The sequence below is a fragment of the Homo sapiens genome, chromosome 4, assembly GCF_000001405.40.
Source record: "Homo sapiens chromosome 4, GRCh38.p14 Primary Assembly".
In the NCBI taxonomy this organism is placed as follows: domain Eukaryota; kingdom Metazoa; phylum Chordata; class Mammalia; order Primates; family Hominidae; genus Homo; species Homo sapiens.
Genome location: NC_000004.12, coordinates 25,407,158 through 25,430,010, shown reverse-complemented (window position 1 = coordinate 25,430,010; position 22,853 = coordinate 25,407,158). Strand labels below are relative to the sequence as shown.

Genomic DNA, 22,853 nt, shown 5'->3' with positions numbered 1-22,853 from the left:
TGGACAATGGTCAGATCTTACGTAAAAACAGAGGTTTGATTCACAACTTGCCCAGGAAACCAATGCTTTATCTACAGTAATCAGCCCAGGAAGCCAGCCTGCTATATGTCATTCTTTAGGAAGTCAGACTGTTACCTCTAGTAACAACCTAGGAAGCTAAACGGCTTCTGTAATGATCAACCCATAACATCCATGACTTTAACAACTGAGAGCTTCGTCAGGCGCGGTGGCTCACGTCTGTAATCACAGCACTTTGGGAGGCCGAGGCGGGCGGAATACCTGAGGTCAGGAGTTCAAGACCAGCCTGGCCAACATAGCAAAACCCCATCTCTACTAAAAATACAAAAATTAGCCAGTCGTGGTGGCAGGCACCTGTAATCCCAACTACTTGGGAGGCTGAGGCAGGAGAATCGCTTGAACCCGGGAGGTGGAGGTTGCAGTGAGGCGAGATCCCACCATTGCACTCCAGCCTGTGGGACAAGAGCGAAACTCTGTCTCAAAAAAACAAAAACAAAAAACCAAAAACTGACAGCTTCCTTTATTTTATTTTATTTTACACAAAGTCTCTCTCTGTCGCCCAGGCTAGAGTGCAGGTTGTGTGATCACTGAGTACCTGGGACTATTGGCACGTGCCACCACACTCGGCTAATGTTTTCAACTTTTTGTAGAGATACAGTCTATGTTGCCTAGGCTGGTCACGAACTGCTGGCCTCAAATGATCCTCCTGCCTCAGCCTCTCAAAGTATTGGGATTACAAGCATGAGTCACGGCACCCAGCCTTCCCTAAATTTTGTCCCTGCTTTCAACTTAAGACCAACTTGAAAAAAAGCCAATTACACACCCTGAAACAGTTATATAAGAGGCCCCACTTCTAGTTAGAAGCCTCCAGCTTCCCCAGGCAAACAGCCTCCCATCAGGGCACATCCGAAGCCTTTCCCCTTCCCCTGTAAAGCTTCCCCACTCCTCTGCTTGCCTTTGAGTCTCTGCCAAATGCAAATGGTGGTGGCTGTCTCTTGCTATACAGCAAGCCCTGAATAAAGAGCCCTGGCCTATTCTCACTTGGTCTTCATTTATTTCCAAAGAGCATTTAACCAAGCATAGGCCCTGCTATGGTTTGGCTCTGTGTCCCCACCCAAATCTCATCTTGTGGCTCCCATAATTCCCATGTGTTGTGGGAGGGACCCGGGGGAAGATGACTGAATCATGGAGGCGGGTCTTCCCTGTGCTGTTCTCATGATAGTGAATGGGTCTCATGAGAATCTGATGGTTTTAAAAAACGAGTTTCTCTGCACAATCTCTTTTTTTTTTTTTTTTGCCTTCCACCACCCATGTAAGATGTGACTTGCTCCTCCTGCCTTCTGCCATGATTGTGAGATCTCCCCAACCATGTGGAACTGTAAGTCCAATTAAACCTCTTTCTTTTGTAAATTGCCCAGTCTCGGGTATGTAGGGACTAATACAGGCCCTCAGACATGGGCCCTCAAAGCCCGGGGCCCTGCATGATTGTACAGATCTGCCATCCAAGAAGCTGGCCCTACAATGAACAGCACAAACAAGCAAAATGCTGCCCTCTGCAGAAGGTTCCAACCACCCTCCAACTTTGCAAGCCAAGACCTCTGGAATCCCAGTCTCCTGATGGGGAGCCTCCCAGACAGCCTCCCTTTGGGATGTACACCTTCCTAGATCCACGCCCAGACCCGTACCACTGGGTCTGGCGGAGTAATGCCCGGCAACCCCCAGACTCAGCCAGGAAGCCTGTGCTTTGCCTGGGCTTCCTGGATTGAGGCATTCTCCACTTCCACCACTTTGAAACCTGCCACCAGCTTCTCCCACAAAGTACCCTCAGAATCCCATGTGGTCAAAGCTGTGGGGAGCAGTTCTCTCCTACCTTGGGTGGCTCAGCTCTGCTGACCTGACGCTAAGGGCTGGGGAGGCTGTGGCATTAGCCGGCTGGGGGATAAAGGTAGATTTCTTAGGCAGCAGGGGGCACTAGAACCTCCAAACAGGACGCAGGGTATACACACCTCATCAATTTCAGGAGCAGGGCTGCCCATAGGGCAGAGATATTAGCGAGGATCCATAACCAGGCACCTTGGGGTGCCTGCCCTCAACTTAAGGAGTTCGCCTGCCAAAAGGGAAATGTGCATTATCTATAATTAAAGGGAGCAGGTGGTAGATGTCAGAAATGTACAGCATATGACTGAGAATTTGGACCCCACTCCTCCCTAGCTGTGTGACCTTGGGCAAGATACCTAACTTCTCTGTGCCTCTTTGTCCTCCTCTGCACAAAAGGATCAATAATGCTTTCTTCCTTATGGGTGGTGGGGTGGGAGCAGCTAAACAAGTAGTAAACCTGGAGTGTATTTAGCCAAGGACCTCACCATGGTCAGGACTCAATGAACACGTGGGTTACGTGAGAACTCCATTGAGGCACAGATGACAGCTAGTCAGGGGCTGAAGTCGGGAGGTGGTTGGAGGAGTGAAGGGAGGCTGTGGAAAAGCATTTGAATTGGACTCTAGGGCAGACAGAAGGAAGGCAATGACAAATCTTTATTCTAGTTTAGGTGGACACATTTCATACACTTCTGTCTTGTTTCAACCCAGAGAACGTGAATCTTTTCTTTTGTAAAGATTTGCATAATGTCATCTACTCAACCACTTTCTGGCAGTAAGCCATCAGCCATCCCTCGGCTTCTGGAAATGCAATGGACTAGGTAGTTTGTATCACTTGCCAATTGCCTAGACCAGAGCAAATCTAGTTGTAGATTAGCATTACATTTAATTAAACATAAATGGGCCCTTGCAATAACTTTGACACTTTATAGGGAGTGAAAAGTACTGGACTAGAAACTTGAAAGATCTAAGGCTCATGTTTTAACTGCATTGCTAAGTTGACTTGTAAATTTGCTCCTTCAATTTCCATCTCTCAAATGGAAACTAAATTATTACATTTCCTATTCCATCCCAAGACTGTCTCACCCCATCAAGTCCCTTTTATATCTTGGATGGATAAATAGGATATTTGGCTTGTGATGCTCTATTTGGTATAAAAACACTTATTTTCTTGACACTGCATTATCATAGTTCCTAGATCCCAATTAATGGACCAAATGTGTGCTTTGCTGGTATTTCAGAGAGTCATACAGTATTCCTCAAAGTGTTCAGGACTTAGCATTCTCTGATTTTTTAATAGTTTCTCTATTGCAAACGACAAATTTGCCATCTGTTTCACCCATGTATTCATTCTTGAGATAATTTCTCTCCCTCTCCCCAAGCACACCATCTCCCCTGAATGCTTTACCCAATGGAAGTCTGTAGACCAACAAAATGCAAAATAATCCCAAAAAATTGGGAAAGGGGACAGAAAACATGGCAAAAATACAGTAGGAGGCTGGGTGTGGTGGCTCTCACTTGTAATCCCAGCACTTTGGGAGGCCAAGGTGGGAGGATTGCTTGAGTCCATGAGTTCAAGACCATCCTAGGTAACAAGCAAGACCCTATCTCTAAAAATTTTTTTTAAAAAATTAGCCGGACATAGTGACACACACCTGTAGTCCCAGCTACTCAGGAGGCTGAGGTGGATGCTGCAGTGAGCTGTGATCATGCCTGGGTAACAGAGTAAGACCCTAATACATATATAAATACACACACACACACACACACACACACACACACACACACACACACACAGAGTGGGAAATCTCCCTTCTTTTAGCCTGGTAAGCTGGTAGCCTCTCTGGGGAGAGTACAGCTCTGTCTCCGCGAAGCCTGAAGACACACAAGAGATCTCTTAAGGTGTCCAGCCTGGCCAACACAGTGAAACCCCATCTCTAACAAAAACACAAAAATTAGCTGGGTGTGGTCACGGGCACCTGTAATCCCAGCTACTTGGGAGACTGAGGCACAAGAATCCCTTGAACCCAGGAGGCAGATGTTGTAGTGAGCTGAGATTGTGCCACTGCACTCCAGCCTGGTGACAAAGTGAGACTGTCTTAAAAAAAAAAACTCTCTTAAGGTGACAAAGGATGCATAAGTAACACTGGCTTTGTACAAGCACTGTCTTGGAGGAAAGCACACTAAACTACGGGGTCAGAAGCCCAGGTTCTGGTCCAAGGTCTACCAGACATCATTCCTCACAGCCTGTTTCCGCAGAGCCGATGGTGGCTATGAATGAAGGACCTCTGAGAAAAACAAAGCTCATCACGAATGCAAGCCTGGCCATCCTTGCTGGCCTGTGCCACACAGACACTCAAGTAGTTGTGCCACTGCAGGAAGACCGAGCTCTGTGAGTGCAGCCATGGGCAAGGCAGGAGGGGCCAAAGGATCCAGGCCCCAGAAAGGAAACATGTGCAGTGGCTGAAGGAATGGGTCCTGTGGCCAGACTGCCTGGTTTCCCATCCCAGTCCCACCCTGCTGCCCGTGTAATTCCTGTGGACAACTTAGTAAACATCTCTTGGCCTCAAGTCCTTCATCTGTGAAATGATGCTAATAATAATAGCACTTACCTTGTAGGACTGTGATGATGTTTAGGTAAGTATCCATGGAATGTTCTTGGCATGATTTCTGACTCTTACTAAATAATCATGTTAGCAATTATTCTTATCTGGAGTCAGACCACCTGTTTTGCATCCAGGCCGTTCCGCCTACTAGCTGCGTGATTTGGGACACGTCAAACCAAATCTCTCTCAACTTTTCTGTAAAATAAGATGAGCAATCCCTTTATTGCAGAGTTAGTTGTTTAGAGAATTCTGTGAGAATGTATATAAAAAGCACCTTGCAATCTCTCCCATGCTATTTCTCTTCCACAGCCAATTCTGCATAGGAGAACCTTAAAAAGCCAAATGCAGACAGGAAAAATCTGGGGGAGGGACAGAGGCAGGTGCAGGCAGTAACCCTTCGATCATGAACCTCTTGTCCGGCCAAGCACACAGGAATTTCATGTACAATTTGGCAGCTCCAGAGGCTCCCAGGTCCAGCTGGGTCTAGGCCCTACTGGATCTGCTAAGTAGCGAGCTGAAGCCCAGTGCCAATTCCTAGGGGCCTGGGAACTGAGGCCAAGCCGAGACTTGCCTGCCTCATTCCCCAAATGGCCAGAGGTGCCTGGACTGGGCAGTTAGTTCCCCTTAAGAAAATCTTCAGACCACCCAGGAAAGGTTTGGCGATATGGACCACATTGGCCCAGAGCTAGGAAGGCCCTGGACTGCACCTTCACAGGGCAACAAACTGACTGTTCAGTTCATCCCGCCTCACCCAGCCTCCTGACCTGGACTTTGAGCAGGCGCTTGCTCAGGCCCACTCTCCACGCAGTCATCTTGGGCCCTCTCCTCCCTGTGCCACACACATAATTGTGTCTGTAACCAACAGTGCACTAAAGACAAAATTAGGCAGGACAGCAACCACAAAGACCCCCTTCCTAAAACACCTGGGGATTGCTACTGGTTCCAGATTTAAAATAATCGGAAATGACCACTTCTCCCTGCCTTGGGGTTAAAAAGAAAAGAAGAAAGAAGGCCAGGTATGGTGGCTCACACCTGTAGTCCAAGCACTTTGGGAGGCTGAGGTGGGAGGACTGCTTGAGCCCAGGGTTTCAAAACCAATCTGGGTAACATGGCAAGACCCCGTCATTACAAAAAAAAAAAAAATTAGCCAGGCGTGGTGGCATGTGCTGTTAATCTGAGCTACTCGGGAGGATTGCTTGAGCCCAGGAGATCAAGTCTGCAGTGAGCCATGTTTATGCCACTACACTTTAGCCTGAAGCCTGGGTAACAGAGCAAGATCGTGTCTAAAATAAAATAAAATAAAATTAAATTAAATTAAAAAGTCCACCACCATTAGAGCCCTTAATCTTACCTCCCAGGTGTGAGGAGCACTAACCTACAGTAGACAGAGATTCAAAGGCAGTGGCCATGCTTACAGGTTGGCTTAGTCTTTTTATCCTGTTCTCATGTCCTTTCTAACCACAGGTGTCTGTTAGGAGCTCCTCCAGGGCAGTCCAGTCCCCCTGGGCTTAGATCCCAGCCTTGCTACTAACTGACTAGGTAGGTGCCTGACCCTCCTCTGGGTCTTTCAAGGTAGCAAGAGTCTCAGAAGCAGTTTTTCCTTCTGCTCTCAATACCCCACTGATACCTCCTCATTCACGGGTGACCTCAGGACCCAACTCACTGTTACCATCTCCATCTGCTTTTGCAACTTTACCAGCCACACAGATGAGCCATCCAAAACCCCAGCCACTCAGCTCTGAATCTACTTGGCTCCAGTGACTTTCCCCTTCACACCAATAGCAGCTGCCAACTGCCATGGTTATACCTGTCATCAGAGACTTCACCACCTCCCTAAGACTGCCAATGTCTCTTCTCTGGTCATAGCCTCTTTATTTCTATCCCTCTGATTCTAAAACTCCATAATTCTCTCATTTTCCAATCTGAGACACCTATTTTCTACCTCTCCTCTCCTCATCACTCTCCATAAAGACCTGAACACTTCTCTCCGAGGGAAAAATGCTACACCTGCCACGCGGTGCTGCACCCACCAGCACCTGTCCCCACAGACTCCCATTAGGGTGGAAGAAAGTCATGTTCCACCCTACGCTCGATCCCTGCAATGGTCACTGGGCCCTAGCCCTTTTAGCCTTCTCAAGGATTTCTTCCAGCGCATCTCCTTTTACTCTAGAATGGTCAATTTCTCCTTCTTTGGTGGATCACTCATATTGACGAATAAAGATGCCTAGTATCATCCATCTTTCTAAAAAAAGTTCTCTGGTGCCATTTCCCTCCCCTGCCACCACTCCATCTCTGTGCCCCTCACAGCAAAATCCTCCAGAGTTGCCTCCACTTGGCCTCCACTGACTCACCTCACATCCATTCTACACCCATTTCAATAGGGCTCCTGTCCTCAACACGCCTCCAAGTTTCTATCAGGGTCACAACTGACATGCAGCTTTTCAGAGGTAATGGGCAATTTTCCATCTCGCTGTTTCTCCGCAGCATCTGATATGCCTGACTACACCAGCCTGAAAGGTGTCCATTGAACTGGTCACTTGGGTGTCCTGCCACCTGGGCCATGTAGTCTCCTCCTTCTCCAGTGGAGAAAATGGGCCCTACACCTTGCAGGGCCCCAGAACAATGGTCTCAGCCAGCCCCTTTGCTATCCACACTCTGCCGCTAGATCTTAACTTTCCATCCCAAGAGAACGAGGATATATATATATATGTATACATATATACATACACACACACACACACACACACACACACACACATATATATCATACATATAATTTATTTGAGACAAGGTCTCTGTCACCCAGGCTGGAGTGCAGTGACACAATCAGAGCTCACCACAGCCTCCACCTCCCAGGCTCAATCCCTTGCACCTCTGCCTCCTGAGTAGCTGGGACTATAGGCATGCACCACCACGCCCAGCTAATTTTTGTATTTTATAGACACGGGGTTTGCCATGTTGCCGAAACTCCTGAGCTCAAGCAATCCACTCACCTCGGCTTCCCAAAGTGTTGGGATTATAGGCGTGAGCTACCTGCCAGGCCCATAAATATTTTTAATCCTTGAATCTCTCTTCCTGCAACAATTTGGCAGGACAAAGTAAGCGGTGGAAAGGAAAAAGGGAAGTAACATATTCTCAAGGTTAGAAAGTTTTGCAGTATCATGAAAATGCTGACAATCACGAGGATCATTTATAGCAAGCTGGCCACTCCTCCAGTTTGGGCTCCACCCAGTTTTACTATCTGAACAGTGGACAGAAATATCACTTGAAAGAATAATATTCACTCTGTAACAGGAATCAGGAATGCAGAAATGAAGAAAAACAGTCCCTAAAGTTTTCAGTCATAAATCTGATGGCAGGAAGCACAAACAACAAACTTGTCTTGTTTTACTGCTTAAAACATAATAAGCCAGTAAACATAAGTTTCACTTATAGTCATGTTGTGGGACAGATTTATCATCTGTACCGTGATAACTACACATTACACCTCATATCTTGAGCAGTGAGTTCAGTCTGACTGCACACACCAGAGGAAAGGTGACATTTATGAACTAGAATGGCTGATTACCAGCAAAGCCCATACATACCCAACTATCTCCCACTTGGCTGAACATAATCTTGTTAGGGCTGAAATGTGGCCCTAAGGGATCCATTGCTACAATGCTGCAGTGCAGAGAGGGAGTTGGGGTACAATTATGCTCACCATCATTTAAACAGATTTATTGAAGTGTGAGCAACTTGCATGTGTAATTAACCACCAGTTAGGGTCATTTTTAAAGAAAAAAAATACATCAATTTTCATTGCATCCAAGGGAACAGCTTATGAACCTACAACTAAGAAATTATAACCATCTAATTTCTAAAACACAGCTTTCATAGAAAAATAATGGTTCTCAACCTTGGTGGGTTTAAGAATGATCAAGTGAGTTGGTTAAAAATGTAGTCTTGGCCTCACCCTCAGCTTCTGATTGAGTAGGCTTAGGGTAAAATCCATACATTTTTAATCACTGGCCTTGGCACTTCTGATGTACTACTGTGTGCTTCATGAGAAATCCTGTTATAGAAATTTTCATTTCCTCAGAACAAGAAAAAAAGTGGAAAGTAAACACTGGCTATCAACCATATTAACAAATCATTTCCCAGACCCATTTAATAATCGAGTTTCTGAACTGAATATTCCTCATAAGAGATCATTTCTATGCTAATATGTTATTTGCTCTCATATTATAAGGTTTTAGTGACCTTAAATTCATAAAATCCTAAGTACTATCTCCTTGGGCTCAGTGAAGACTAAAAATATTATGCTGGATAGTCAACTGTAGCTTCTAGCAAATGTAAACAGTCTGTAGATAATCACCACAACATTGCAACTTAAAGAGGTGTCAAAGAAACTGATTTGCTCCTGGTGAAATGCAACCCATGATTTCAATTATAGCATCCTTTAGAAAGAAGTGTTTAGCGCATGTCTGCTTGCTGGACTTCCCTCAAGAATGGGAAAATATTTAGATCAACTCAAATATATATAAATTCCCCTAGTTATGGCATCATAAACTCAAGGCTATATCATAATAGTTTTCTTCACATTTACATTCAAATGTTCCAAATTAAGAAGACAGAATATTTTAGCATTTTGCTAAGTGTACAATTTTTACATTGGAAAAAAATCAAGAACACAACAACAACAAAAAACCCTACTAAGCCAGAGAATTAGAAAGACTACTATTATAGTTCTATCAAGTCTGGCCAAAAAAAAAAAAAAAAAAAAGGCTAGTTAAGTTTCTAAAAAAATCAACACAATTTATGTCAGCAAAAAGCAGAATAGAATATTGTAAATAGAAGTGCTAGTCTTTATTGGGTATCTCACATGCGCTAACCACAGTGTTCTATAAGTAACCCTCATTAGTCCTCAAACCCTGAGAGAGACACTCAATTACCCCACTTTATGCCACGGTCCACAAGAGCCAGGACCTGGAGGCTCCTCTTCCCAGGGTCCTCACATTCCCACCCTTCACTTGCTCCTCACTAAATTCAAAGCTCAAATTCAGCATCTGCAGCTAAACATACTAAAAGTAGCCAGTGTATAATGATCAAATTGCTCTACATATTAAAAGCAAAGTGTCTATATTGTATGCTCTACCAAAATCTCATGTGCCCCATAAATACATATACCTACTATGTACCCACAAAAATTAAAAATTAAATTTTTCTTTTAAAAAAGCAAAATGTCTAGTGGTGTCAAGAATTATAGCATATATCTAAAAATACAATAAAATTCTCTGCTCTATGCATCTTATTAAAACTTAAAAAGAGATTCAGATGTCAATTTAAACTTTTTCACTTTAATACAATTCTAGTTCCTACTTGCTATACATATTAAAACCATTACTGAAAAACCAATTCTCCCATATTTTATGTCTACGCTGGAACCATAGAAAGCAAATGTGTATGTATCAAAAAATCTTTATAAATCTAACAGTGAGGTCACAAAGGACAAATTACTAACTAATAAAGAACTGGTGAAACTGTCGTTCTTTCTAAGAACAGGCTATTAATTATTGGTTCCTAAAATCCATTAAAGCTCTTTAAATGTTATATGGTAAATCTGCACAATGCATTCTTTCTAAAAATGCTCTATATACCCACAACCTATAATTTTTCAGTAATGTCATCTCACAGTTCACCTTTCTTGCTCACAAAAGCTAATTCAAGACATTCTGCACTACCCCAGGAACAATGCCCAACTGTCAGTAAACATTTACGTAAATTTGTTAATAGAGTTTAAGGCCTATCATATGCAAGGCTACAGATCAGTATAGTCAGCCTCCTGATCACAGTCCTAAATGCTATGTCACCCAACAGTGGCTTCCATTCACAGAGGTACCCTGGAGTACCTAGAGAGACAGCTACCTATTAAATAGACAAATGACACAGCAACCCTGCAGTTACCCATTCACCTGGTTATAGTATATCCTCCTGCCTAAAGATATTTAAGCTTTAAAAAGTGATTATCGATGAAGTGATAGTGGAATTCATATATTAAATTAATTTCTTTGAAAGTCACACAAGAATACTATTGTACTTTAGGAATGAATGAGCATTAGGAAATCAACAGTAGCTTATCTGCACTAATGCCAGATAACATTTAGTTGACCCATATTTCTCACACTCTCAAGGAGTCAACCAAACAGACAGCTACTATATGTCCTTAACCAAGTCTGAAAAGGCAAAAGGGCACATCTAAGCACTGCTGATTCAAATAACTCAGAGCTCAAATGCAGGGACAGAATGAGAAAAGATAACCATGTAGGTATCAAGCAGTGTTTATGTTATTTAAACCATAAAAGACAGGATCCATCCTTTGGCTTAGCATTTCAGTAAATCAGTATAATATATTCTGAAAACATAATTTTAAAATCATTCTGGAGACCCAAAATGAACTAGAAGGGGAGATGGAAAAATAGGAATGTTGTCTATAGTTTTAAAATACTAAATGCATTAAAATTTCCAGTGATGAGCGACTATTTCAATGATACAGGAACAATTCCTGATACCTACCCTTCTGACAGAAAAGATTAGACTTTTTCTTCATATTCAATTTGTTCACCTTCTCTCTTTCTTTTTTGAGACAGAGTCTCACTCCATCACGCAGGCTGGATGGAGTGCAATGGCGCAATCTCAGCCCACTGAAACCTCTGGCTCCCAGGTTTAAGCGATTCTCATGCCTCAGCCTCCCAAGTGGCTGGAATTATAGGGGCATGCACCACGCCCAGCTCATTTTTGTATTTTTAGTAGAGACGGGGTTTTGCCATGTTGGCCAGGCTGGTCTTGAACTCCTGACTTCAGGTGAGCCACCCACCTCAGACTCCCAAAGTGCTGAGATTACCAGCATGAGCCACCATGCCTGGCCCTGTTTTCTTTAAACACTAGTTCTGCACATAGCATTAAAGAGAAAGCTCAGAAAAAATAAAGTCTATCATAGTGACTATATCACTAAGAGAAGATGAAGCAGAATATGAAAAAATAAAATTTACTGTTTATTTCTTTGTTACACAAAGGTGGTCCAAGACATCTTAGTCCATCTCCTATGTCCTTTTGGCCATAATTACACACACAATAATGGCAAGCTAGATTAGGAGTCTAGCTCAGGGTCAAGTTTTTCCACTTTAATGACTATCTCTGGAGCTAAAGCGGCAGCACCAGCTTGTTGGTTCTCTGCCTCTGACTCCGACAACACTTCTTCCTTTATTTTTACAGGCTTATTACTGGCCTCCTCCTCTTCATCTGAAGACTCATCGAGCTCCCATTCATCATCTATGTCCATTTCAAATACTCTCACATGACGAAGATTTGAGCTTAACTAAAAAAGAAAAGGCCATAAAAGCATTTTTAAATTAATGGCTTATCATATATAAAGAATTAGAAATCAGAAGTCTGAATCAAAGAATGGTTTTATAGGAAAGTTATATTCCCATCAATTTACAACAAAATCAATAAATTCAGCCTTCATTTTGTATAAAAAGATCTCCACATAACAACAGTGGCAATTTCGTGAGATTAAAATCTAGTATTATTATTAACTACTTAGTAAGCTTTATCAGAACAAGAACTAAATAGCTAAGGCCACCACATGATCATAATCAATACAAGCTATAAATCACAGTAAAAATATTTGCACAAAAGGACCTTATATATCATGTATTTGATGAAGGTTCCAAAGAAGCAACGTTACTTCTTGTAATTTCTTAGTTGCTGAACGATCTCTAAACACTTACCACACAGGACACTTTTCGAAAACCATTCCCAGCAACATACTGTGCTTTCATACTTTCCAGTAATCTCCAGTGCTTCTCAAAATGCATGGTACGGGTGGGAATAGCACTACACTGTTCATCTAGCCTAAAGAGGGAAAAAAACCAACTCAGGAATGAAAAGGGGATCTTATCCTCCCTAGTTTTACTACAGGTGGTATTAGGGTCAATTATGGTTTTGACTTCTACTCATACTTCTATTTCCAATATAATTTTAGCAACTGTTGTGTTAGAAAAAAAGCTGTGATATAATATTCTATAAAAATTCCATATTCTATATTCTGGCTAGGCACAGTGGCTCATGCCTGGAATCTCAGCACTTTGCGAGGCCAAGGTGGGAGGATTGCTTGAGTCCAGGAGTTCAAGGCCAGCCTGGGCAACATAGTAAGACTCTATCTCTGTAAAAAAATAAAATTAGTCAGGCAAGGTGGCACATGCCTGTAGTCCCAGCTATGAGAGGCTGAGGCAGGAGGGTCACTTGAGCCCATGAGTTGGAGGCTGCAGTGAGCTATGATTGCGTCACTGCACTCCAACCTGGGTGACAAAGAGAGGCCCTGTTTCAAAAAAAAAAAAGAAAAGAAATACTGTAATTCCAAACAGGCAGAATATCATCTTAGCAAGGTTTCTGACTCCCTTTCAAAGAAAGCAAATGGATACATTTTTAAATTAGAGATCTGCTTACTTAAGTCTCAGTCAATTAAAGCCATCTCTTGGAATTGACAGTATACTTCCTACATGGGTACTGAGGTCTTAATTCTGGAAGGAAAATACTGAAGGCAAATCAAAAATAACTAATTCCAACCAACTAGGGTTAATGCTATCCTTAAAAATGTAACTAAAAGAAGTCCCATTATCCACTCCAAATAATTCCCCACCTTGATTCCAGCAAATACTTCCTGATTTACTAGTAAAGCAAAGGGACAAAAAAAGCTATTAAGGCCAGCATATTTTGAATGAAAAATTGGAGCATTTCTGCTCAGCTACCTCTGTGGTTATCTCTAGTAACGAAATAACCATTATCTAGCGTACCTAAAAGGTTGGAATTTATAATGTGCATTAAAAAAACATTTAACTGTAATATCAGAAAGACAATGTTACTAGTTACCTTGTAGAATAAGTCCCAGTGAACTGATATTCTGCAGAATCTTCACTGTTATATACTAAAGACAAAGGCAGCTGGACCAAGAGTCTATCTCTTCCTTCACGTCCTACAGTGTCTTTAAGAACTACTGTTACAGTTTCATCATCATAAAACTGTGCATCTAAACAACTGTAGATGCTAGAATTAAAATAAGTTTTGTTATATCAAAGATGATCGTGACTACTGAGAAAATATTGTATGCATGTTATACTGGCAGCAAGCAGAAAAAAATTTAAAAGTTAAGTGACATTCTGTACAATAACATTTAAAATATATCATTGGTTTGTATTAAAATCAGTTACTTTTTGTACTGATTATTCACATATATAACCAAATCTTAAAAATGGGTAATCATGACCCCCAAAAATCTGTGAAGTTGTTTCAGTTCTAGAAAGCCCCTGGCCATCAATGGTTAGGCCTTAAGCCTGTGGAAATTCTATGAATGACACCTTATATACACATTCAGCAGAGTTGACTAGACTGAGAAATAAAAATAAGATACTACACATGAAAAATAGGCACAGCAACTCCAAGGACTTTATCATAAAAAAACTTATTTTATGTGAGGAAAAAAGTGAGAAAAAGATCAGCCTATGATTAGTCACTTCTTTCCCTTGCGAAGCCTCAGGGATGGCTTAGGTACTGTTACCATTTTGAATCCTAAGAAAATCTCCCATCACTAAGAATGGCATCACCTCATAATTTTTTTTGGTCGTAACAAGAACTTCAGCCCTGCAGGCCATCTGCCCATGGGAACCACATTACTTTCTTTGTCAACAGGGAGCTCAGGAGTATTAATTATAGGAAACCGTACGACATAAACTGCAGGGCAGTAAGGTTCTATTCAATCACAAGTCAAATCATTCTCTATGTATAAATACACAAAGAATCCTGCCCTTGATGTGGGAAGTGGCAAAGCCCTTTTACCTATATTACCACCGTAACTGAGTCTGATCCTATTCCTAAACATATACACATATCACATGTATCTACATTTCATCCAAACAAGATTCAAGACTTACCTTCTTCTGACTTTTTCTGTTGTGGCATATGTAAAGCTCCCAAATTTAATAGCAATTAGTCCATTACTCACAGATCTTCAAGAAAGAAGGGGGAAAAAAAGAGACTCTGTGGAACAACCTGGATAGTCAATAATCTAAAGGCTTAAAAGAACATGATTGTCAGGGTCAGTACATGTACTTCTTTAGAACACTGAGAACTTGTTTAAATGCCTAGATAGATAAACCAATTTGGTTTAAAATCACACAGTCACCAAAGACATTTGGAATAGAAATAACCCAATTATTTCTTTTTGGTTACATCGTGGTCTCAACATTTTCTTCAAATTCAGGTTTAAAACCATTTTTAAGCTACCAATGGCGTTCTAAATATGATTTATTTTTCAGAACTTCTACTTTCAATTTCAAAGTAAGTCTCTGTTAGGCAAGGCCTCTTGTTTAATGAAAAGCATACTTAACCCTAGGCAAAAATCATTTCTATAAGGCAGCCACTTTTAGAAGTTTTTAACTTCTAAAAAGTTAAAACTTCTTTAACTTTTAGTTTTTCGGAAGTTTTTAACTTCTAAAAAATGAAGTATAATATCCTGAGCTGTCATATTTTTCCTAACTCTAAAAAAAGTCCTACAATGATTATATGCCAATAAAAATTAAATAATCTAAAACAAGATCATATAACTTCCTAATTCAGTGTTACCCTTTTAATGACATGAAAACTAACAATTAAATGACACATCTAAAAGTCACAAAGTAGTTTAAAATCTGAAATGCTGGAAGGCTGTATGCTTCATTCTTACAAATAATAAAATCTTATCTCTTTGATTCAAACTTCAGATTAATACTTACTGAGAAATATCAGTATGTCTCCTTAAGATGCACATTTTATAAAGTGAATCTTCTAGAATAGTAAAAAGAAGATAATGTAGATTTGAAGTTTTATTATTCCACCTAAGAAAAAAAATTGTCATAATATTTTTTAACTATTGATGGATAAAACAAAATTGTATTGTTCACTCAAGATAGGGAAGAAATATATACTTACAGAAAAGGAAATTTGAACAATCTACGTGTAGAATCCTCACTAAAATAAAAGGGAAAAAGAAATGAGAAAAATTTAAATTGGCTGCGGAATTACACCATCCAATAGGTAAACAGAATTACCTTCTGGTATCTCTATACAATGGAATACAGATTGCTTGATTCATCGATTTTCCAATTACATCCTATATAAAATAAGATTTTAAAATATAATTAGAGCGTTAATATGCACACAGATACTCTACAGAAAGTGACTGACCATCACTGTTCGAATGTGGTAAAAAAATCGCCTACATCACCAAACCTTGTACATAAGAAACGTTAATGACAATTGTAACAGTAAGGAAAAAGAGAAAATTCTGAGCTGAAAAGGACCTTGGTGCTAAGCACATGGCAGGTTTAAGACCACCTCCCTCTGGTCTCATAACAACCATTCATTCACATCCTTCAGTAGTAAGCAGAGACACATCAGCTCTGTAACTAAGACTGTTTACAATGAATTTCTTCTGGGAACAAATAAAATACTCAAGATGCCAACACCTTCAGTAATCTTTATACACACACACACACACACACACGTGTGTAAGAAACTTAAGTTGGAGTATTAGGTTGAACCATATGAAATTGTTACTTTTGTTAATCAAAAACAGTTGACTATCAACATTTTCATAGTTCATTCTAAAAATTAAGATCATTTACATAAGTGAGCCACATACTGTAGACACTATTGCTCCTACACAAAGACATGCATTTCTTTCAAACTTACTGCTGGCTTTTGCAAACACTGATCAATAATATTCTCCATCCGCCTTTTCACAAAATGCAATGATTTTCGAGGATAATAAGGAAACAGCAAAGGACTTTCTGGTTTCAAACAAAAACAGAAACAAAAATAAAAGAAGCTATAGCAAACTTATAATTAGAAGAAAATAATCTACTGTTAGAGCCAGTCTGCACAGTTTATCTCGAGGTAGAATTTTCACTGACCACTTCATTGGATTTTCACACAACCTCATTAAAAACGACCATGGTCTTCTGCCTTTCATCAACCCCCGCTGACAGCTCACTAAAAACAATCTCACTTACTACAAACTTAGACTCACCAAAATCCAACTGTAGGTTTCTGCTGGCTATAAGAAGCAAGGAATGATTTGGGAACCATCAAATATATGATGAAATAAAATTCATTCTTCTATTCTTTGCCACAGTGAAACAACAACAGCAGTCCAGTACTGTTTTTTAAGTCTCTAAAACAAGAGACTGGAAACTAGCTCTATATAAATAAGCTCTTTACTTTTTAAAAGGTTACTTTATCAGGAGAAAGTAATATATAATTTAGCACTAACACCTGCTATGCTAGGTGTTTAAAATACCTTTTTTTTTATTGCTTACAATAGCCATATGAAGTAAACACCATATTCTCCAATTTACAGATGAAAAAAAAAATGAAGCTTAACAGGTTTAGGCAATTGCCCAGTGTGAAAATAACTAAGTATCTAGTTCTGTCAATCAAACCCAAGTCTGACTCTAATGCCCACCCTCTTCCACTGTGCTTTGTAGGCCCTCCCTTAGATAAAGCCATGCTGGATAAAATGAACTACAATCACATTAACATTTTAAGTTCTCAAGGTGACAGATGCTATGTTATCACAGAAAAACATTGATCTTTGTTTCTAGTTCCTAGAACAGAGCTTCCAAAACCCTTGGAATTTCCTGAGTGATAAAGGTGACAGGAACATTTTTTTTTTTCTTTTTTTAAAGACAGAGTCTCATTCTGTTGCCCAGGTTGGAGTGCAGTGGTGCAGTCTCAGCTCATTGCAAACTCTGCCTCCCGGATTCAAGCGATTCTCCTGCCTCAGTGTCCCGAGTAACAGGACTACAGGTGCACACCACCACACCCAGCTAATTTTTAGTAGAGATAGGGTTTCACTATGTTGGTCAGGTCTCGAACTCCTGATCTCAAGTGATCCGCCCACCTCACCCTCCCAAAGTGCTAGGACTACCATCTTTTGTTTTAATGAGGCAACTCTTGGCTGGCACCTAGATAGCTTTAGGATAGGGGCTGGCCACCAAAAAGACCAAGCCTTGATTAGAAGTTTGGAAACTTCAGCTCCACCCGCCAGCCTCCAAGGAAGAGAGAGGGGCTTGGAGGTTGAGTTCAATCACCAATGGCCAATGACTTCATCAATCATGTCTACATAATGAAACCGCCAGAAATACACTGGGACAATGAGGTTCAGAGAACTTTCTGGGTGGTGAATATGTCCAGGTGCTGGGAGAGCATGGAAGCTTTGCACCTTTCTCTCCATACCCTGCCTGATATAGCACTTCTATGTGGCTGTTCCTGAGTCATATTCTTTACAACACACTGGTAAACAAAAATTATATGTTTCCCGGAGTTTTGTGAGCCATTCTAGCAAAATTATCCAACCTGAAAGGGAGGAAGGTTCTGGGAACTCTTGACCTTAACCTTATAGCCAAGTCAGACAACAAGCATGGCTACCCAAGAGATGTGGGGACCCAGAGACCTGACATTTGACGCGAGGGCAGTCTTGTGGGACTGCATCCTTATCCTGTGAGGTCTGCGCTAACTATCTGTAATTCGTGTCAGAATTGAATTGTAGGACACCCCGTTGGTGTCAAAATTGGTTGGTGTCAGGAGGAAAAAAATTTCTCTCATTTTGTTGTCAGAAACACTGAGTAAAAAGTGCTCAGACACTAACCTACAGACTGCTTCTGTGCTAAGTGCCAGGCATTAGTCTAAGTGCTTATGTAGATTAATTTATTTAATCTCCACACCAGTTTTTTGAGGGCAGCATTATTACCATCTTCATTTTACAGATGAGAAACTATGGCACAGAGAGGTTAGGCAACTTGCTCTCAGCCGTGTTACTACGAAGTAGTAGAGCAGCTTCCAACCCAGAAAATCCAGCTTTCAGAGCACCAACTTTTACCCACCACACAATACTGACCCATGTACCCTAAAGAAAGTACACAGATCAAGTATTTAGCACTTGATTTTTGCAGTGTAAGAAAACAGTTTCACTGATATTTCCTCACTAGAATTCATTATGGAACTCAATAGTGAGTTCCATTAGGTCTGTAGCTAAGATCAGGCCTTTCTTATTCAAACACGTAAGATGTGGGGCAAATAAAAGAGGACAGGACCTATTTTTAGCCTGGCAAAGTTCCCTGGATCAATAATAGCCAAAATAGCAACAGGGTCCAGGTGCCACTACTCTTGACGCACTGCCACTGACCCTCTCCAGACATCCTGCCTTATTCCCTGGGCATCCTGATTAAATACAGTAAATAAGTAGCGTCTCCTGTACCTTTATCCTCCCTCCATTCAATAGCCAACTTGCACCAATGCATCTCCTTACTGACCTCAAGACTCTCTGGCAATACATAATAGGTTCTGCCTTGAAAAAGAATTTGGACTATATGCAAAGTTCTTGGCATCAAAGAATTCTCTCCCTCATTCATTCATTCATTCATTCATTCATTCACAGAAGCAGCAACCAAATACAAGTGGCAGAAATTGCTATAGGTTGAGTTTCACTTACCCAAAATGCTTGGGTCTGTAAGTGTTTGGGATTTTTTTGGAATTTGGAATATGTGCATATACATAATGAGATATCTTGGGGATGGAACTCAAGTCTAAACACGAAATTCATTTATGCTTCATGTACATCTTATACAATATATTTAATAATTTTGTGCTTGAAACAAAGTCTTGACTGCATTTTGACTGGGACCCATCATATGAGGTCAGGTATGGAATTTTCCACTAGTGGTGTCATGTCGGTGCTCAAAAAGTTTTAGATTTTGGAGCATTTTAAGATTTCAGATTTTTGGATTAAGATGCTCAACCTGTACTGCCAGTCTAGTTAAAACCTCAGGCTTTCACATTAACAGAATCCTAGCTCCATCACTAACCAGCTTGTGTGATCCTGGGCTTCTCTAACCTTCTGTTTCCTCATTAGTAAATGGTGATACCAAGTACCTACCCATAGAATCTTGTGAGGATTAAAGCAGGTATTGTGTGTATATGGCAGACTAAGCACCCCATAAATGTTTAGTTAGACTAAGCACCCACTACCTTAAAGATCTAAGCAATTGCTAAATCTGGTCAGATTATTCTTTCAGACATCAAAGAAATACGAGCTTTAAAATATTTTCATCTAAAATGGTAAGATGTGCTGGCATATTTAATGGTTGCTATTATGTGCTGCATCCCTAATAATGCTGGATAGCTTTACGGTATTAACATTCTGACATTCTAGAAAATGAAAGGTATAACAAGTACACATGCACACACACACACACCAACTACAACCCGAGGAGAATACAGTTGAGCATCCCTGTGCTTTCAGAAGATAATAAATTGGAATTGGCAAAAAAGACTTTTCTCACTATTTGGCTCTATAGTTTCCCTCAAAATCCTATTTTTTACAGGGTGCAAAACACTTATATGAGAACACTTAGGAATAAGCAATCTTCCTACAGCGTAGTTAACTTCAGAGTGTCTTCTATCTATCATGGTGATGTCATACACTATTGGTTATTTTGCTGTTCCTATAATCAAATAAATATAAGTCTAATAAACTTAGGTAAGTGTTCAGCAAGTTTTCAGCAAAACTGTTAGCAGAACTATTCAAGACCTAGTCTTAAATAAAAACAAAAATGGCCAAAATCTGGTTGGTTCATGAAGTACCTTTAAGGTGGCTGCTATTTTGAAGAAAGTCATACCACTGGTTTCCTTCTGTGTTAGGGGGTGACACAAGATCATCATCTTCATCTTTCAAGTACTAGAAATACAGAATTAGAAATTTAAGTTTATTCATACCTGGAAGGGAAAATGGAAAAAGAAAAAAAGTAAAAGACAAAAAAAAGTTAAGTTTAGTAAATCAAAGACTTAGGGCCTAAAATCGGTTTATTTTTAACACTTTTTTAACTTAATAAGTTACTTTGTTTTATTGCCAAGTCCTCTGAAAGTGCATTACTATCATTCTAAGTGAGGTAGCCAAAATCTGCTATGTGTATGTGGCAGAATTAAGCCCTCCATAAATGTTAGCTAGCTACTATCTTAAAAATTAAAGAAACTGCTGAACAGTTGGTAGTTTGTTTAGTCAAGCAACTAAACAAACCACAAAGTATTAAAAGATTATTATGTTGTAGATGTAGAGATCACAAATCGAACTTAAATTGTGTTTCTTTTTCATGAGCATATTTTAATTTAACATATGCAAGTTATAAATTAGTTTCATAAGTATCCATTGTCAATGTACTGTCAATATACTCTATGGCAGTTGTTCTTCAAGTGAGATCCACAAGCCCCTGGGAATCCCCAAGATGCTTTTGGGGATCCACAAAGTCAATACTAGTTTTATAATAATGTAGCTGTCACCTGCCCTTTACACTATGCTAACATTTGTACTGATGGTGGGGAAAGCTGTAAGTGTCTCAGCCAAGAGTCAAGGTAGTAGTCCCAAATCATACCAGCAGTCACTGTATTCTTTTTCTGCCACATACTCATAGTTTCATTTATCTTTAATGAAGTCATTAAATTATTAACTTTATTTTCAACCCTTGAGTACGAATCTTTAATATTCTGTGTGACAGAATTGAGAGTTATACATAGGAACTTTTGCTACACAAAGTATGATGGTTATCTTGAGGAAAAGCACTTATGTTAAAAGCAAAAATAGGCTGGGCACGGTGGTTCATGCCTGTAATCCCCGCACTTTAGGAGGCCATGGCAGGCGTATCACTTGAGCCCAGGAGCTCAAGACCAGCCTGGGCAACATGGCAGGTCTCCACAAAATAAAGACAAAAATTAGCCAGGCATGGTGGTGTGTGCTTGTAGCCCCAGCTACAAGAGGCGAGTCCGAGAGGTGGAGGCTGCAGTAAGCTGTGATTGCACCACTGTACTACTCAGAGGAAATATCTTGTCTCAAAAAAAAAAAAATTTTTTTTTTTTTTGGAAAACCTGCATCTGCCCCTGTGTGCTTCACAACACAAAGACTTTTCTGATTAAATTGGTGGTGCTATTAATGAAATCTAGCTTATAGTTTGATAAAAGGTGGCGGCATTTAGAACAGCTGGATGACTCAGGGAACCAATACTTCCCAAATGACCAAAGCAGGATGTTACAAAATTATGCGTGGACAAAAGATCCGTTCAAAGTGCAAGAAGATGAATGAATTTTAATGTAAAAAACGTTCACTGATGCAATTTTAGATTCCACACTGAAACAAACCTTTAAGATACTATCACTTGTCCACATTTGATATAATAAAGCAAAGTCACAATTATCTGAAAAAGCTAATAGAATATTTCTCCCTTTTCATATACACACCTGTGTGAGGCCAGACTTTTTTCATATACACTGATACTATAGAAACAACATATCGAAACAGACTGAATGTAGCAGCAGATATGAGAATCCAGCTGTTTTCTATTAGGCTGGACATCAAAGAGGTTTGCAATATGAAACGTTACCACTCTTAACTAAATTATATTGTAAAATTTCATTATTTTTCACTAAAAATATTTATATTAACATGTAATAGTAATGGGTATATTCTTTTTTTTCTTCTTCTTTTTCTTTTGAGACTGAGTCTCCCTCTGTCACCCAGGCTGGAGTGCAGTGATGCAATCTTGGCTCACTGCAACCTCCACCTCCTGGGTTCAAGCAATTCTCATGCCTCAGCCTCTCGAGTAGCTGGGATTATAGGCATGAGCCACAATGCCTGGCTGGTATATTCTATTTTTGAGTGAATTAGGGAATAATTTTTTATTATGTTTAATTTTTAATACCTAATAATGCCTATCAGCAATAAATAACAACTCACATAAACAAAAGCTCTTTTCTAGTCCTCGATAATTTTTTTTTTTCTTTTTTGAGACAGAGTCTTGTTCTGTCGCCCTGGGTGAAGTGCAGTGGCTTGATCTTGGCTCACTGAAACCTCTGTCTCCTGGGTTCAAGTAGTTTTCCTGCCTCAGCCTCCCAAGTAGCTGGGATTACAGGTGCCCACCACCACACCCAGCTAATTTTTGTATTTTTAGTCCTCAATAATTTTTAAGAATGTAAAAGTGTTCTCAGATCAAAATGTTTAAAAACTGCTGCTCTTTGTTAATTTTACTAAAAGGGCAGAGATCCTGTATTACTTGGTATTGTAATTCTTTCCAGAGACTTTGGATAACAAAGATGAACACTGCTAAGGTTTTAAAATGAGTTCAAAGCCCATACCTGACCAACTCTTTCAACGTTAAAGTATTTTCCTTTTCGATTATAAAGGTCTGGAGCCTGGAAAAAAATAAACATAGTTTAATTCTTAAGTCAACT

The 22,853-nt window shown here is 40.2% G+C and overlaps 1 protein-coding gene and 1 long non-coding RNA gene across 7 annotated transcripts in view; both read right to left on the bottom strand.

The window, feature by feature from the left end:
- Window positions 1-5,546, bottom strand: part of LOC105374536 (uncharacterized) — a 44,163-nt gene extending 38,617 nt beyond the window's left edge. For both annotated transcript variants that reach the window (XR_925494.3, XR_007058090.1), the window contains exon 1: window positions 4,506-5,546. This is a non-coding gene — a long non-coding RNA (uncharacterized LOC105374536). The remainder of the gene's footprint in view (window positions 1-4,505) is intronic.
- A 5,966-nt stretch (window positions 5,547-11,512) lies between these two features.
- ANAPC4 (anaphase promoting complex subunit 4) overlaps window positions 11,513-22,853 on the bottom strand; it is a 41,236-nt gene continuing 29,895 nt past the window's right edge. For 4 of the 5 annotated variants that reach the window (NM_001286756.2, NM_013367.3, XM_011513838.2 and 1 more), the window contains 10 exons: window positions 22,758-22,814; window positions 20,220-20,313; window positions 16,269-16,366; window positions 15,626-15,687; window positions 15,507-15,545; window positions 15,311-15,412; window positions 14,471-14,545; window positions 13,413-13,586; window positions 12,272-12,395; window positions 11,513-11,856 (listed from right to left, as the gene is read on the bottom strand). In NM_001286756.2, coding sequence (NP_001273685.1) covers window positions 11,629-11,856; window positions 12,272-12,395; window positions 13,413-13,586; window positions 14,471-14,545; window positions 15,311-15,412; window positions 15,507-15,545; window positions 15,626-15,687; window positions 16,269-16,366; window positions 20,220-20,313; window positions 22,758-22,814 — 1,053 coding nt within the window. In that variant the 3' untranslated portion in view covers window positions 11,513-11,628. Of the gene's footprint in view, window positions 11,857-12,271; window positions 12,396-13,412; window positions 13,587-14,470; window positions 14,612-15,310; window positions 15,413-15,506; window positions 15,546-15,625; window positions 15,688-16,268; window positions 16,367-20,219; window positions 20,314-22,757; window positions 22,815-22,853 lie in introns of those variants that run through there. The other variant, XM_047450152.1, reaches the window with a different exon arrangement.